At 51.6% G+C, this 17,408-nt stretch overlaps 1 protein-coding gene across 13 annotated transcripts in view, besides 1 other annotated feature; it reads right to left on the reverse strand.

The window, feature by feature from the left end:
* The window catches only part of PTPRN2 (protein tyrosine phosphatase receptor type N2), a 1,048,768-nt gene that overhangs the window by 897,389 nt on the left and 133,971 nt on the right, over window positions 1–17,408 (reverse strand). The window lies entirely within an intron of this gene.
* Window positions 1,144–1,644: an enhancer, noted in NCBI's record as "NANOG-H3K4me1 hESC enhancer chr7:158230280-158230780 (GRCh37/hg19 assembly coordinates)". NCBI's record gives its function as "activates a minimal SCP1, AML or CMV promoter by ChIP-STARR-seq in naive H9 embryonic stem cells {active_cell/tissue: H9 hESC(naive)}" and the evidence as "EXISTENCE:reporter gene assay evidence [ECO:0000049][PMID:30033119]".

Here is a 17,408-nt window from a genome sequence, read left to right on the forward strand (position 1 = left end):
TTTCCTAAGAGTCATCTGTTGATGGAGTCTCTCGAGTTCTGTCTGTCTTTTCCTAAGAGTCATCTGTTGATGGAGTCTCTCGAGTTCTGTCTGTCTTTTCCTAAGAGTCATCTGTTGATGGAGTCTCTCGAGTTCTGTCTGTCTTTTCCTAAGAGTCATCTGTTGATGGAGTCTCTCAAGTTCTGTCTGTCTGGTCACGTCTTGATTTCATCTTTATACCTGAGAAACATTTCCAGGGAGTAGAGAACTTGAATTGATGGGGTGTTTTCTTCCATCACATGCGAGGTTCATCACACTTCTGGTCTCCATGGTTTCTGGTGAAACAATTCATCAATAGAGATTAATTTCCTATGATTTTTCTCTGCTTGCTTTCCAGATTTTCTCTTAAACTTTGGTTTTTACTAATTTTAGAGTGATGTTCAGAGGTAGGGTTTTCTTTGTGTTCATTCTGTGAGGTTGAACTAACCACACAAAACTGCCAATATTCAACTGTTGTTTACCTTTAAAATAGCTATATAATAGATTTTTTAAAATCCAAGCTTTGGTGTCTTTCTTCAGGTTTGAAAAAAATCATAGCTCTCATCGCCTCAAACATTGCTTCTAAGCTGTTTTCCTTCTCCTCTTCTGGGACTCCACCTACACATATAGACCTTTCCAACAGATCTCCTCTGCCTCATACACTCCGTCCTGTACTTTCTCTCAGTTTTGATCTGTTACTCTGCCTCATTATTTCCCAGGGACCTTCTTCCAGCTCACTCATCTGCTCTTCCTTCATACTCAATGTTTTGTGATGCCCATCTATTGAGTTATTAGATTCAGCTCTAGAATTTCCATTTGATTACTTTGTTTATAGAATCAATTTTTCTGGTGAAATTTTCCACTTACCCTTTATTTTCTTGAACATATCAACCACAGTTATTTTAAAATTTGACTGCAACAAGTATAATAACTATCTGTGGGTGTACTGTTGTCATCTGTTTTTGTGTCTTGGTCTTGCTTCTTGACAACTGAAATTCAGACATTACATATGAAACTGCAGAGACTCTGGGTGAGTCTATCTTCTTACCTTCCTCCTCACTAGACAGCCAGATCGAGGGTAGATCCCCTTAACTCAAGGGAGGCCTGAGACAAGAAGACAGACCCATCATTCTTGGAAGGCTCAGTCACCTGGGGTTTATCCTCACACCTATGGCATGACCCATCCGGGGCTGGGACCTGGGATGTGTGCGATGGCCCCTCTTTCTTAGAAGTTCCTGAATTCCAGTTTCATCTCTTCAGCATTATGAGACTGCCAGAAATCCTGCTCTGCTTTTCCATAGCTTTCTGATCAGCCTCTGATTCAACTCAAGAATTTGGCAAATGTGTCAGAGGTGAAAGCCACAGGTGCTGATTGCCTCTGTACCTACTTTCTCTTTGGGATCCAGTCTCCTCAGGGCCTGGTAACCTTTGCAATGCAAACATCTATTTGTGTGTTGATGACCCTATGAGGTTGCCAAGTGCTCTGTGGGTTTCACTGCCTCTTCTCCACAGCCCTTGCCTGGTTTCTCAGCCTCTTTCGACAGGAATCACAAATGCCCCCAGGAGACAGGCAGCCCGCAGGGAGTGGGCTCCCTAACAGTGCCCCTCCGATGGGTCTTTTTTAAGTTTTTTTGGCCAGGGGCTGTGGCTCACACCTGTCATCCCAGCACTTTGGGAGGCTGAGGTGGGCGGATCACCTGAGGTCAGGAATTTGAGACCAGCCTGGCCAACATGGTGAAACCCCGTCTCTACTAAAAATACAAAAATTAGCCAGGCGTGGTGGTGCATGCCTGTAATCCCAGCTACTGGGAGGCTGAGGCAGGAGAATTGCTTGAACCTGGGAGGCAGAAGTTGCAGTGCCACTGCACTCCAACCTGGGCAACAGAGTGGGACTCCATCTCAAAAAAAAAAAAGAAAAAGTTTTATTTTATTTTTAATTGACAAATAATTGTACATATTTATGGGCTACGGTGTGATGTTTCAACACATATATACATTGTGGAATCATCAAAACAGGCTAATTAACAGGATCTTGGCCTCTCAAATCCCGGTTGCCTCCGCAGCTCCCCAAAGCAGGCATTCTGTGGATTTTACCCAGCACTTCTAGTTGTTCCCCACAGGAAATCTGATCCGATGCAAACAGATCATTATAGCCAAGAGAAGGTCAGTTCTGATCGTTGTTGATTTTCCTGGAATTTGCTAATGATGAATCGTGCTGTGTGAAAATACACTTTAGGCTGATGCCCAGCTGATTAGCATATAGGGTTTAGTGACATTTCCACTGATAGTGACTTCCTCAAAGACACTCTGACCAGGGGTCAGCAAACCAGAGCCCCGGGACCTACCCCACCTGTCTTTTCATGTAGGGCCTGGGAAAGGAAAACAAACCTTGGGACTCCAAAATCTCCAGGCTAAAGGGAAAAGTCAAGCTGGGAACTGCTCAGGGCAAACCTGCCTCCCATTCTGTTCAAAGTCACCCCTCTGAGGCTGCCCTGAGACAAATGCATCTCATTGCTCCCTCTCCCCTATTGCTTATGTAAAAATGCAGATTCACTGAGCCAGGCTCAATTGTGTATTCACTGGAAGGCTGGTCAAGGACTCAAAAGAATGCAAACTTTTGTCTCTTATCTATTTCTAACCTGGAAGCCGCCATTTCCAGTCATCCCGCCTTACTGGACTGAACCAAAGTATGTCTTACACATATTGATTGACGTCTCATGTCTCCCTAAAATGTATAAAAGCAAACTGTGCCCCCGACCACCTCGGGCACATGCCTCAGGCCCCCGTCCACCTCCTGCGCATGCCTCAGCCCCCGACCACCTCAGGCACAAGTCTCAGGACTTCCTGAGGCTGTATCATGGATGCATCCTTCACCTTGCCAAAATACTTTCTAAATTGACTGAGACCTTTCTCAGATATTTTGTGCTCACAAGCCTTTGAGCTAAGAATGGTTTTTATATTTTTTTAAGGGTTGTAGGAAAAATGAGATGGAGACAGGGACAGAGAAGAAGTGGGGAAGAGAGAAGAAAGGAGGAGAAGGAAGAGAAGAAGAAGAGGAGAAGGAGTAAGATGAGGAGGAGGAAACAGTAATCTTTGTGGCTTTCAAAGCCAAGATATTTATCATTTGGTCCTTTACAGATAAAGCTTGCCAACTCAAGTTCATGACCATCTCTAATTCTTTTAAATATCAAGTCATGATGTGTATTAATATAAAGATTGCATATTAAATGCATCTTCCATAGACATAGAAAGTAAAGATATGAAAATCAGTTTGTACTGATTGTAAGACAAGTCTCTGAACGACCAACAAGATGGCCCAGTCTGTGGAGCTCCAGGCTTATTTACGGGGTGCACCTCGTAGTGCCCACAAGGAAGCTAGATCTTTTGGAAATAATTCTGCAATGTGGAAATAATTTTGCAACGTGGAAATACTGAGGCCTGGGGCTGACTGATTTATTGATGAGAAACCCAGGGAGGCATTGGTTTGGGGTTCTGTGACATCATGTTGAGGCATCTGCATTTCCTATCACACTGTACTAAATCAGTTAGAAAATATCTTAATTTCCCTATCCTCACATGAGTCTTACTGGGTCCTGACAACCTCCTGGCCTCTCACCCTAATGAGTCCTCATTTCTGAGTGGACATTTCTCCCAAATTCAGTTGCAACAACAGATGGTGTGTGGCCACAGCCCATAAAGGTAGAGACTCATGCTCAAAGCTGCCTTCTGGTAGGCAAAGTCGCCACCTCGAACACACCCTCCAAAGACTTGACATTCAGATACCAAATGCTCCAGGTCCAGCTCCCAAAAGCTAGATGGATTGTCCGTTCCATTCGGGCTTCAAATCAGAGGCTGTGGTGGCTGTGGTATCTCAGGACTGGTGCAGTAGGGTTCTAGCACAGCTTCAGGCAGACTTCCTCAACAACAGTGATGGTGATGGTAGTGGTGGTGGTGATAGTGAAAGCAGTGGTGGTGGTGATGATGGTGGTAATGGTAGTAGCTATGGGTGTGGTGGTGATGATGGTGGTGATGGTAGTGATGGTAATAGGGGTGATAGTGGTGATGTGGTAATGATGGTGGTGGTGGCAGTGGCGGCGGTGGTGGTGATAATGATAGTGGTAACAATGGTGGTGGTGATGGTGGTAATACTGGTGATGGAGGTGGTCGTGGTGATGATGGTGGCAGTAGTGATGGTGGTAGTGATAGTGACAGGGTGGTGGTGGTGGTGATGGTGATAGGGGTGGATAGTAGTGGTGAAGGTGGTGGTGATGATGACAGTGGTGGTGACAGTGGTGGTGGTGATGTTAGTGATAGTGGTGATGGTGATGGGGGTGGTAGTGGTGATGGTGGTAGTAGTAGTGGTGGTGGTGGTGATGGCAGTGACGGGGGTGGTGGTGGGGGCAGTGGTATTGGTGGTGGTGGTGAAGGTGGTGGTGGTGACGGTGATGATGATGGTAGTGATAGTGGTGATGGTGGTGGTGATGATGGTGATGGGGTAGTAGTGGTGTTGGTGGTAGTGGTGGTGGTGATGGCAGTGATGGGGGTGGTGGTAGTCGTGGTGGTGGTGACAGTGGTAGTAGTGATGGTGGTAGTGATGGGGGTGGTAGTGATGGTGGTGCTGGTGGTAGTGATAGGGGTGGTAGTGATGGTGATGGTGATAGTGGTGATGGCAGTGGTAGTGATGGTGGTGATAGTGATGGTGATAGCAGTGGTGGCAGTGGTGGTGATAGTGATGGTGATGGTGGTGGTGGTGATGGTGATAGTAATGGTGATGGCAATGAAGGTGATGGTGATGGTGATGGTGATAGTGATGGTGATGGTGGTGGTGGTGATGGTGATAGTAATGGTGATGGCAATGAAGGTGATGGTGATGGTGATCAGTGATGGTGGTGATGGTGATGGCAGTGGTGGCAGTGGTGGTGGTGGTGATAATGATGGTCATGGTAGTGGTGGTGATGGTGATAGTGATGGTGATGGCAGTGGTGGCAGTGGTGGTGATAGTGATGGTCATGGCAGTGGTGGTGATGGTGATAGTGATGGTGATGGCAGTGGTGGCAGTGGTGGTGATGGTAATAGTGATGGTGATGGCAGTGATAGTGATAGTGATGGTGATGGCAGTGGTGGTGGTGGTGATAGTGATGGTGATGGCAGTGGTGGTGGTGGTGATAGTGATGGTGATGGCAATGGTGGTGATGGTGATGGTGATGGTGATCAGTGATGGTGGTGGTGATGGCAATGGTGGCAGTGGTGGTGATGGTGATAGCGATGGTGATGGCAGTGGTGGTGATAGTGATAGTGATGGTCATGGCAGTGGTGGTGATGGTGATAGTGATGGTCATGGCAGTGGTGGTGATGGTGATAGTGATGGTCATGGCAGTGGTGGTGATGGTGATAGTGATGGTCATGGCAGTGGTGGTGATAGTGATAGTGATGGTCATGGCAGTGGTGGTGATGGTGATAGTGATGGTCATGGCAGTGGTGGTGGTGATAGTGATAGTGATGGTCATGGCAGTGGTGGTGGTGGTGATAGTGATGGTCATGGCAGTGGTGGTGATAGTGATGGTGATAGTGATGGTGGTGACAGTGGTGGTGATGGTGATGGCAGTGGTGGCAGTGGTGGTGATGGTGATAGTGATGGTCACGGCAGTGGTGGTGGTGGTGATAGTGATGGTGGTGGCAGTGGTGGTGATGGTGATGGCAATGGTGGCAGTGGTGGTGATGGTGATAGTAATGGTCATGGCAGTGGTGATGGTGGCAGCAAGGAAATCATTCTCTGATTACCTGACATGGTTAAAAATCTGAGAGCAAAGATGAGCTGAGAATGTCATCATACAATGTGTAAAGAAGCTGAGCCTGAGAACCCTGAAATGCATGGTATTCTCTATGTGCAAACGTACGAGAGCTGAAAGTGACCAGTTACCTATTCATGGTTATCATCTGCATGATGAAGAAACACTGCAACCTACCTTTTCTCCACTAGAGGGTTGGTTCACTAGATAATGGCACCTGCATGCCATGGATGCTACGTATCAGTATTCAACAGTGGAAGCCCACTCAGCATTCAGGAGTAAGAGATTTGGTAAGTGATAAGAAAAATTTGCAGAACTACAGGATTCCATTTTTGTTATGTGTGTGCCCAGAAGAGCATCTAAACAGACATTTACCCGAATGTTCTTCACCATGATTATTTTGGGGCTTTAGGATCGTAAGGAGGTGATTCTGATTTTGTGGCTTGTACCCTTCTGCACCACCCAGCCATGCAGCGTTCCGCCTGCTTCCTTTTCTCCTGTGTGCTTTAATTCTAGTTACAGGAAACATGCATATGAAAAAGGCACGGAAGGGAATGTATGTTTCCTTTTTTGTCAGAAAATAAAATGACACGTTTCCATTTTTGGAGAAGTTAAAACAGATTTTATCTCCTGCCACCATTCTTGCCTTACGGACAAGAGGAGGACAGGGCCTCCAAGCAAATGAGCACATTAGTGAGTTAAAAGAAATATTTATAAATCTAGAGCATAGTCTTTGGCCTAGAAAGACGGTACTAAAGCAGACAGAAGCCTTTTCAGGAACACAAATAAGTATTAAAAAAAAAAAAAAAAGCAAAAAAACACCTTTTTTGTTCCCTTTAAACCAGAATGACTCTTAACCTGGTCAACAAGCACATTGCAAATGTCTTGTTCCCACTAGGTGGCCACAGGTCACTGGGCGAGCGGGTCTTTGTGGGCAGAGGCAGGAGCGGAGGCTGCGGAGGACGCTCCAAGCCCATCTTCCGTGGCTCAGCCCAGCGGCTCCCGCGGCTCCAGGGCAGCGCCAGGCATGGCTTCTCCCCGAAGGCACAGAAGGCTCCGAAGTTGCCACCTCTTGCCTGAGTTGCCGGAAATCCAAGGGTAGGTTTATATCAAATCAGCAGACAAACTTGACTTCTGGGTAAAGGCTAAAATGAATCAACGGAGAACTGACGAGACTGTTTCCCCACTGACGGGTCTGTAAGAGTTGGGGGCTGCCCGCCGCCTGGTCAGTCACGCTATGCAGCTCTTAGGTTGAATCCTGGGCTGCCCTGGCTACCAGGATGCCTCAGGGAGGGGAGGAAGCAGGAGGAGCGGCGTGGGGCGACTCCTCCCAACAGGGGGAGCAGCGTGGAGCAAATCTTCCTGATGGGGGAGCGGCGTGGGGCAAATCTTCCTGCCAAGCGTGCGAGCTGCTTGTCCCCACCTGGGCGAGCCACCTCTTCCTACCAGGGGTGCCCATGAGGTCCTTCCTAAAAGTAAGACTCAGCAGGGAGGGTTCCAAGGCCTGTGGCCAGCAGGTGAATCACACAGGAGCTTCCTCTACCATGTGAGGCTCTGGGGGTCCTTGTCTGGGTGACGGTGTCAGAGTGGACTGTTGGCCACCAGCAACGGGGCTGCCTGGGACGGCCAGGGGCAGAGCTGCTCCCATGTGGCACCCTACCCCGAGTCCTGGGTGTCTGGGCTCACACCCATCTCTGGCCTACCCCAAGTCCTGGGTGTCTGGGCTCATACCCGTCTCTGGGTGTCATTCCAGCAGCACCTTCTCCTCCTTTCAGGATGGCCCTGTTCAGTCAGGGTCCTGCCCTCTCCCACTGCACGGGGAGGTGCTAGAGAAGGGAGGGGGCCTGTGGGCACTGCCACTCACCCCTCCAACAGGCAGGGAGACAGGCACCTGCCCCAGGGATGCTGCAGCCCAGCACCCCTCCGGCAGCCTCGCCTGGCTCCAGCAAGAGCGGAATGTTCACAGGCCTGTCCACCGTCACCTCCTAACAGGTCCTGGAGAGGCCAGGCCACGCCAGTGCCATCACAGACTGTGCTCGGGAAGCTGAGGTGAGCCCCAGCCGGCCGTGAGCCCCAGCGCCCAGGCGCCTCCTCCCCTGTTGCAGCCCCACTGGGTCCCCAAGTCCCCACCCACGGCCAGTGTTTGTTTCTCCCTGAAAACCTGATTTGACTTCACTCAAAATCTCCACACCTGCTGCAAACGTCAGTTTGATAAACCTGACGCTGCCCTCCCGGCTGGGGGCAGGAATCTCTCTACCACCTGTGTGAGAAGAGGCCGAGCCTCAGAGTCCCAGGCCAAAACCCTGTTAGAGCAGCTTAGACACAGCACCAAGACCCCCCTAGACCCAGAGTGAGCCTAAAATGAAAAGCAAGTGAAAGCCTCGGACCGTGCAGCTGCTCGCCAGAACGTCTCAGGAAAACTGGCTGCGGCCTTTCCTGTGGAATCCAACCGAGATGGCCTCAGCCTGTCTCCCTTTCCTCGTCCTCAGTGCTCCTCACAGACCCCAAGACCCACAGGGCCTGCGTCACATGCACAGAAGCCAGGTCCTCTCCTACGGCCATTTTTGGGATCCCAAGAAAGCCCCCAGTGTCCCCTCACTGCTGTGCAGCTTACACCCCAAGTTCATTGCTCAGGGCCCGCTCTCTTTCATCAACAATTCTCCCCCTGCATCCTCTTGAAAACGCGGCCGCACCCGGCGGGGCACCATGCCAGACCACGGCCCTCTGCACAGCAGCAAGCCCACCACAGCGTGTGGACCGTGAGACCTGCCACCGTGACTTCTCCCCAAAAGGGCCTGAGCTGGGCTTAACCAGGAGGGCTGGGGAGAGCTGGATGCCCTTCACCCTCGCTGGGCAAGAGCCTCCTCCCAGGCATGTCCCAGCCTCAGGGCTTTGTCTCCAGAGGGGGCAGGCCCTGGGTGACACAGCCCCTCAGCCCCACTGCCCTGTCCCCGAGGCTGGCCAGCCCTTCCTTATCTGCACAGCCTGAAGCCTTGTGTGGCTGACTCGGCCCTGAGCTTGTTCTCACCACCAAAGGAAGAGCCAAGCGCCCCCACCTGCTCACCTCTGCCCTGACTGTCCTCACCCTGGATCCCTTCCCTAATTAAATCCCCCCGTCTGCAACCCAGGCAGGGAGTTTCCACCACACTCTACACTGCACAGCAGCCTCCATCGCAGGTGGTGCCGTCCCTGAGTGCAGGCGCCAGAAACCCCAAGGAGGCTCCTTGGCAGAGCCTGAGCCGGACCAGTGACCCCGCGGCCTCTCGGGAACAGGTCAGAGGCTCTGGAGGGCCTTCAGGTTCGTCTGGCCCTAATCTCCACCCACCCCTCGCCTCTGCCCCAGCCCATAACGGGGCCGTCCTCCAACAATGAGTGGGCAAAGGTGCAGGGCTGAACGCAGACAGCCGCCTGCTGCTCATCAAGGGAACAGCTTCCTGCCGCATCTTGGGGTCTATGCTGCCTGGTGGGGCCAGGAGACCCTGAGAGGGCGCTCTGCCCCAAGTCAGCCTGTCCCTCCTTTGCCCCAGATGGCTCCTGCTCCCACCTCCTCCTGTCCCCGTGAGCCACAGAGCAGCAGACGCATCATCAGTGGACACTGGCAAGACCATGTCAGTGCTCAGAAGCCTCCGGGTCAGCCCTCAGACCACCCCATGTGAGAAGGTAAACCCCGGCGCCCAGGTGAGCCCTCGGACCACCGCATGTGAGAAGCCAGGACACTCAGCATGAGCAGGTAAACCCGGGCGCCCAGGTGAGCCTTCGGACCACCCCACGTGAGAACTCAGGACACGTGAGAACCCAGGACACTCAGCGTGGGCAGGTAAACCCTGGTGCCCCAGCACCCCAGGCTCCTGCCCCACCCAGCCCACCAACACACAGTTGCCCAAAGTCCGGATTCCCAGCTCGCCCCAGGTCTTCCTGGGCACATTCTGTCCTTGCAAACCACTTAGAGGTTGAGGGACTGTTTATGGGGTGGGTGTGTGCCTGAATGTGTGAGAGACAGAGAAAAATTACCCCCAATCTATAAGCTATAGGTAAGAAAAAGTACATTTTAATTTTACATTAAATTGAATACTTTCAACTATATTTTAATGTGGAAATTCCCAGGCCAGTATGAGGTGTTGCTGTGGTCGGACCACGCTGGGCCCACTCACGATGGAGTCTGTCGTGAGAGCTGGAGCCCCACCCAAGCCACAGCTGCCCCCGGCAGGCAGGCCCCACCCAGGCTCTGCAATGGACACACGGAGACCCACCCGAGCCACAGCCACCCCCAGCGGGCAGACCCCACCCGGACTCTGCCTGGGCCACAGCCGCCCCCGGCGGGCAGACCCCACCTGGACCCTGCCTGGGCTGCCATGGACACACGGAGCAGCTTGAAAATCCAATGGTCCCTGGTGTAATTTCCTCAGAGATTACTTGGTTGATGAGAAAAGCAGTAAGTTTTGTTGTTTGGTTTCATCTATCTGGATTTTTGGTGAGAATTCTCCACTGCTCCCTGTCTGGGGAGAAGCCCAGCCCCATGGCAGCCCCAGCCTCTGTCCACCATCAGGCACGCTGGGCTGTCACACAGCCACCTGTCCAGGGCACCCATGACATCCGGAACCCACCTCAAATCTGGCTTCTGTGGACTGAAGGCGGCCGGCCTGCAGCCTCCTAGCTCCTGTTCCCACGGCCTCACGGCATCCGTCACTTTCGAGGGTCATCACAATATGACCAGAAGCCCACGGGTGGCTTTGAAAGAGATGAAGGCGGTGACATACGTGCCCAGTAAGGACGCAGCTAGGATGCCAGGTGGGGCAGGCCAACAGCAGCTCCAGGCAGGACCAGGATGGCCTCTGATTGTCAAACAGATTTAAAATTTTTGCTCTGAAACACTGAAACATTCCTTCCCAAGCAAGGACAGAGCCATGAATCCACAGCCAATCTGGAGTTCCTCTCTGGGCCTGGGCAGCCTCTCCTAGCTCCCCAGACAACACTCGGTGCCTCCCTGCAGCCTCCACCGTTAAGCAAAAGCGTGGATGTATGAATTCCAATTTAGGTTTTAGCTAATGCTTGCATTCCAGCCATTAATTGCCTTGAGCTAAATACCTAATTGGCTGTATAAATTCCCCAAATGGAATTCTTTGGCACCAAAAAAAAAGAGGAAGGCAGCTAATAACCACTACAGAGCACAAGACCCGTCTCCATAATTAGGCCCTGACGGACTCAGGCCAGGGCGGCACCACCTGCCCAGCTGGGCAGCCCAGAAGCAGCAGGGCCCCAGGGAGCCCGGTGGCTCAGCCACACATGCTGCCCACGCGGCCCGATAAGGCCGACCCGCCCAGCTTGCTCCCGCTGCCAGAGCCTCTTCCCCACCTCTCCAGGAAACAAAGCCACCTGCACGGGTACCCGGCCTGCCTTGCGTCCTGCCAGGCCCCTGGAAAGCAAACATCCCTCCAAGGCCTGGGCCAGTGGTGGGCTGCGTCAAGCTGTTAGCCAAGCGGGCAGTGAAGACGAAGGCTGCCCCGTAGCCAGGGAGCTGACCTCTCTGCGCAGGTGCCGGGGTACGAGCACCAGCAGAGCCGAGAGCGGGGGCAGTGCTGAAGCCCCTGCTGCCATCCACAAAGGGGCCTCAGAGGGTTGGAAATGACAAGCCACGGTCTTGCCCCACCCCGGCTCCTGGCCATGCTACCCAGCCACACGGCACAGGGCAAATGCCAGCAGGACACAGGCCCTCAGCCCGGCATCATCGTCAGCCCGAGGATGCTGGGCCAGGCCAGGTGCCGACTCAGCAGGGCAGCAAGAGGGCCTCACTGCTGAGGGTGAAGCCAAGCCCAGCATGGCGTGCCCCACTCCAGCCACTCCACCGCCAGGGCTGCTTTCTGGGACCACTCCCAGGATGAATCTCACAGGGAAGGCCACAGGCCAGGTCGGCAACAACATGCCCCCAGCAGAGTGGCCCAGACACAGGAGCAGGCTGGGTGTCTGAGAATCATCCTTAGAACACAGAGAGAAGTGGACTTGGAAGGATATAAATCAGAACGGTAACATTATTTTAGTATTTATTATACATTTTCTAAATGTTTCATAATAGCCATGTATTGCTTCTTAATTAGAGAAAATAGTAAGTTAGCATGAAAACCCCCCAAAAAGAGAAGAGATCTGGGGAGGAGGAGGGAGGTTGGTTTCCACACTGCTTTCATCAGGCCAGAGGCAAACAGAAGTCTCCGCAGACCCAGGTCTGGGCAGCGCTGCAGTGCAGGAGGGTGGGGTGGGGAGGGGGTCCCCTCCAGAGGAGCTGAGTCTTCACTGGCGCCTGATGCTGAATTTGAGGCCCCCAGGGGAGCCCCTCAGCGGGAGGGCCGTAGCATGAGGGGCTCCTCCTGCAGCTCCCACTCCTGGGCCAAGGGCATGGGGCAGTCCCACCTTAAGGTCAGAGCTGAACTGACAAGTGTTCCCCGGGGCTCCCAGGGCAGGCCCCAGTGAGAGTTCCCCTGGCACTGCTGCTGGGGGCATTTCCAGCCTAAGACGGGTTCAAGGCAACCCCACTCCAGTCCAGCCACTAGAACGAGACTGGACTGTCCAGGTGCTCCAGCCCCACCAGCGTTTCCAATGGTCAGGAGCAACGGCGTTGGGTGGTTAGGAGACCAGTGGGATGCCACATATCTGTGGGGATGAGGGGCACGGCACTTTGCACTTTGTGTCACTGTGGTGTCCAAGATGGAATTAAGGTGACACCCCCGCCTCCTCTCAACAGATGTTCAGGACATGAAGGGCCGTGACAGGCAGCACGTGCCCACTCAGCTGGATTCCAGGTTCCTTTGTGGGACTCGGCACCACCTGTGGACAACAGGGTGTGTTTAGGGTCCAGGGACTTTCACACCAGAGGAAAAGTAATCCTGACTTCTCTTCCCTCCCAGTGAACACTGAAAACAATCAAACGTCAAAGTCCGTTTTCTCCCAGGTCATGCGTGGGGTAGGGATGGTGTCTCCAATGACAGATACCAAAACCAACAATTCCAGGTACATGTCAATCCCACAACTCAAGCTCAAGAAGCTTCCAGAGGAAGCAAGGGCTGGCCCAAGGGCAGGTGAGGGTGGTCGGCCCACAGGGCCCTCCCGGAGCAGCAGCAGATACAATCATGCTATAGTTCAGTTTGCTCGAAGAGTGGAGTGTCAGCCTTGGCTCAGGAGTCACCAAGAGAGGACGATGCACAGATTCCCACAACAGCAAGACACACAGCGCAGTCTGAGTCCAAACAAACACCAATAGGCAGAAGCAAGACACACAGCGCGGGCCGAGTCCAAACAAACACCAACAGGCAGAAGCAAGACACATAGCGCGGGCCGAGACCAAACACCAACAGGCAGAAGTGAACCCGTGAGGCTTAATTCATAGTCAGGAACATTTGGAGGAGTTCAGCCCTTACTTCTTTGCCTTAGTGATTTCCAAACTCATGGATGCCACTTCAGTGTGGTAATGGAGCCAGGATGAGTGGAGAGCATGTCACACATCAGTTTCCCGCAGCCCCTGCACTGGTGACCCTTAGTTCATTCACAATCGCATAATCCCTTGTGATTTTCCTGGCAAACAGGAACACTAAACCTCTTTTTCTTCCTAAAATATTTGGTTTACAAAGTTAAGCAAAGGCAAAGCTACAACACAAAACGTTGCTGTAGTACAGACGAATCCAAGGTGGCCACAGCACAGATGAACCTGGTGAGGATGCCGTGGTGCCACAGACTGGGTGACTCACACAGAAACGTCCTCATGGTCTGGAGGCTGGAAGTCTGGGATGGGGGTGCCAGCACAGTCTGCTCTGGTGATGGCCTCCGCCTGGCTTCTCACCGCGTCCTTACATGGAGGAGAGAGGACTCTTCCTCTTCTTACGAGAGCACTGGTCCCTTCACGGAAGCCCTGCCCTCAAGACCCCATCTAACCCAATCACCGCCCAAAGGCCACCTATCCCATCGTGGGAGCCCCACCCTCACGGGTGATCTAACTCAATCACGGCCCAAAGGCCTCTCCTCCCAGCACCATCCCCTGGGGGTTTGGCCTTCTACACACTGAGTTCAATGAGACACATTCAGTCCATAACCGCTGCCTCAGAGAATGTCTTCCCACACACAAGGACACATACACACACACTGGTGAAACACAACTGAGATTCATTCTTGCTTTTTTTAACCTCATAGATATAATAGAGAAATGCGCACAAAAACGCATCGTATAGCAAACAATATTAAGTGAATATTCATCCAAACAGCACTCAAGAAATAGTCCCGCCAGCAGCTGGAACCCCCACCCCTGCTGCACCTTCATGGGGAGCCACCGCCGACTTGATGGAAGCTGTGCTCACGGCCGCGCCTGCCTCTGCACCAGATTCACAGGGCCTGTCGTCTTTCACACCTTCCTTCTTTCACTCAGCTTCATGTCTGTGAGATGATCCGAGTCGCCCCGTCATGGCTAAATTCCACTGTTCCATTGTATGAAAATAAAATAATCTTCCTCTCCTCCACCACCAAAGTGCATGTGGGTCACGTCCAGCCTGGGGAGACTGTAAACGATGCCACCTACGCGCTTCCTTGCGCATCTCCCTGACCAGGCGTACGTGTGCTTCTGCTGCGTGGAGGGCAAGGAGCGAAACCTCAGCCGCAGCAAACACACCTCTCCACATTCCAGCACACCTGCCCACCTGCTGTCCAAGCCCCCGAGGAGCTCAGAGGTTGTGTATCACAGCCAGGTGCTTCCAGGAACTCCCCGCCCCACGTCGCAGCTGCACCTGGAGCTGGTGCTTCCGGTTTTTGCCCGTCTAGTAGGGGAGCTGCTGAATTTCATACGGCTTCCGTCTTCATCACTCCAATTTAATAATTAGGTTGAAGACCATTTTACGTATTTCTCAGTCATTTGAATTTTCTCCTTAGAACTTCTGAAATGTTTTGCAAATGTTTCCTTCGTTGCCTTGTTCTCAGTGATTTGTCAGGGTCCTCTCTGTTTTGAACGTGAGATCTTTGTCGGTTACATGTCATTTACATGTGTTGAAAATATTGTCTCCCATTCTGTGGCTTGTCTTTTAATTAATTCTCTTTACGGTGTCTTTTTTACTAAGAGTTATTCTTGATTTTAATATAGTTGAAATTATCAGTAATTTCCTTTGCAATTAGCACTCTTTGTGTCCTGTCTCAAAACCTTCCTCTCCGCCCTAAAGTCATGAAACATTATATTCTCAGTTGAAAACCTTTATAGTCTTGCCTTTCACACCCATGAGCACAGGAGTTGGTGTCTCCGAAAGAAATTCGGTCCAGGTTCATCTTCTTCTAATATGGATTCCAGCTGTTCTCATCTTCCTTTTTTATTTCAAAATGTCTTGAGGTCCTTCTGTGTCAGCCCATCTACCTAACTCCGTCTTGAAGATGAACCACAACTTGAAGGGTGTTTAGAACGCTCGCGGTTTTTTCCTATGATAATGTTTCACAGAATCATTGCGCATTTGGTTCTTTACACCCAGGCCTGAACATCCATCACATAACTTCCCAGGAGTCAGGCTGGTGAGTTAAAGTTATGTGAATTTTAATTTCCTTAGATATTGGGCTGTCTTCCTTAAAAAAATTAATTCCATCGCAAAATTATTAAAAATTCCCCCACGTTTTCTTCCAGTACTTGTAAAATTCCATTATATTTTTAAGTCTCTGTGCCATCTGGATTTTATTTTGGGGTAAGGAGTTTGGGAGGGACCCAGCTATGTATTTTCCAAATGTCTGGCCAGTTGTCCCCAAATCATTACTGAATAATACATCTTTTCCCCACCGATTTAAAATGTCATCATTATCATATACCAAATACCCATACGCATTTGGGTCTATTTCTAGACTTTCTATTCTTTCCCTTCAATCTGCCCGTCTGTTCCCCACTCTGGCTTAAGTGTCCCATCACTGCAAAGCACTGAGTGTGCAAGACTCAACGCCCCACACACAACTTTCTTTTTCATAACTTTTCTGTTTAGTCTCATGTTTGTGTCTGAACCTGGACTTTAAAGCTAGTTCGTTTAATTTCAAAAAAAATTGTTAATATGCTGTTGTGATAACTTACATGTATAGGTTTATTCAGAGAGAATTCATATCCTTACAGAATTAAACCTTCTCACCCAGAAGCACTGTCTCCCCTGCCCAGCGGGTCCTCCCCATCTCCCAGTGGAGACCATGGACCTGCCGGGTTCACCGTCGCCAGGCTCCTCAAGGCCTTCCCCATTCTCCCTGGTTCACCCAGGAGCTCTGAGCACGCCACGCACCTGCCCCTGCAACCTTGTCCCGGGCGGCCTCCTGCCACCCCACCGATTTCCCCTCCCACTCACAGACTGTGGCATCTCAAGGTGACCTTGGGCTGGAGAGCCAGGATTCCAGCGGACACCTCTGGGCTTGGGGGGCTCGATAAGACAGGTGGAGTGAGTGAGGTCAGGAGGGGATGAGGAGGGAGACACAAAGGAAAGGAAGTGACCAGAACCTTTGGGAAACACAAAGAAAAACTATGCAAGAAGAGAAAGTCCCAACACCACAGTTAGAAGTGGCACATTTGGGGCGGCTGTTGCAGGATGAAGCAGGAGCATCTCTTGGAACTGCACAAAGAGTCTTCTCCTCCAGAGTAACACGGGGTCTTACTCTGTTGCCCCGTGGCTCAGGGGCACAGAGGGCCCCACTCGGCTTGTCTGCAATCAACGCTGGTACAGCTGCAACACAGGGAGCACCCCGAGGATCCACCCATCACTGCAGCTGCAGGGCTGGGCATGATGCTTTTAACTTGACAGTGTGAAAACTAAATGTTGGCTAACACAGCCTGGACGTAGGGGAATTGAAAGAGGACAGTCCTCACCGTACGGTGCAGGGGGCACCACAGGGTTGGCTAACACAGCCTGGACATAGGGGAATTGAAAGAGGACAGTCCTCACCGTACGGTGCAGGGGGCACCACAGGGTTGGCTAACACAGCCTGGACGTAGGGGAATTGAAAGAGGACAGTCCTCACCGTACGGTGCAGGGGGCACCACAGGGTTGGCTAACACAGCCTGGACGTAGGGGAATTGAAAGAGGACAGTCCTCACCGTATGGTGCAGGGGGCACCACAGGGTTGGCTAACACAGCCTGGATGTAGGGGAATTGAAAGAGGACAGTCCTCACCGTACGGTGCAGGGGGCACCACAGGGTTGGCTAACACAGCCTGGACATAGGGGAATTGAAAGAGAACAGTCCTCACCCTACAGTGCAGGGGGCACCACAGGGGCTACACAGAGGAGGACTGAGTCAACTCCTGATGAGATGGTGTGGAACCATATGGAAAAGTGGCAGCTGCCGCAGGACCTCAACGTGGGAGAGGCTACTGTTGCCCCTGGGTGAGCTCAGGAAAGAGGGGCAGGATCTGTTGCTTCTTATTTTAAGCCCTATATTACTCGGCTTTTAAGTGAACCATATATATGCATTACTGTCACACAAATTAACTGAGGAAAATTGAAAGCCTCATGTCTCCTAAGTACTAAGCATTCAACTGACATTTGTTGTGCACTGACCATGTGCAGGGAACCGACGGAGACACTTAGAAACTCAGCAAAGCAGACAAGTCTCCTCCTATGAAACT

This window comes from Homo sapiens, chromosome 7 (assembly GCF_000001405.40).
Source record: "Homo sapiens chromosome 7, GRCh38.p14 Primary Assembly".
In the NCBI taxonomy this organism is placed as follows: Eukaryota; Metazoa; Chordata; class Mammalia; order Primates; family Hominidae; genus Homo; species Homo sapiens.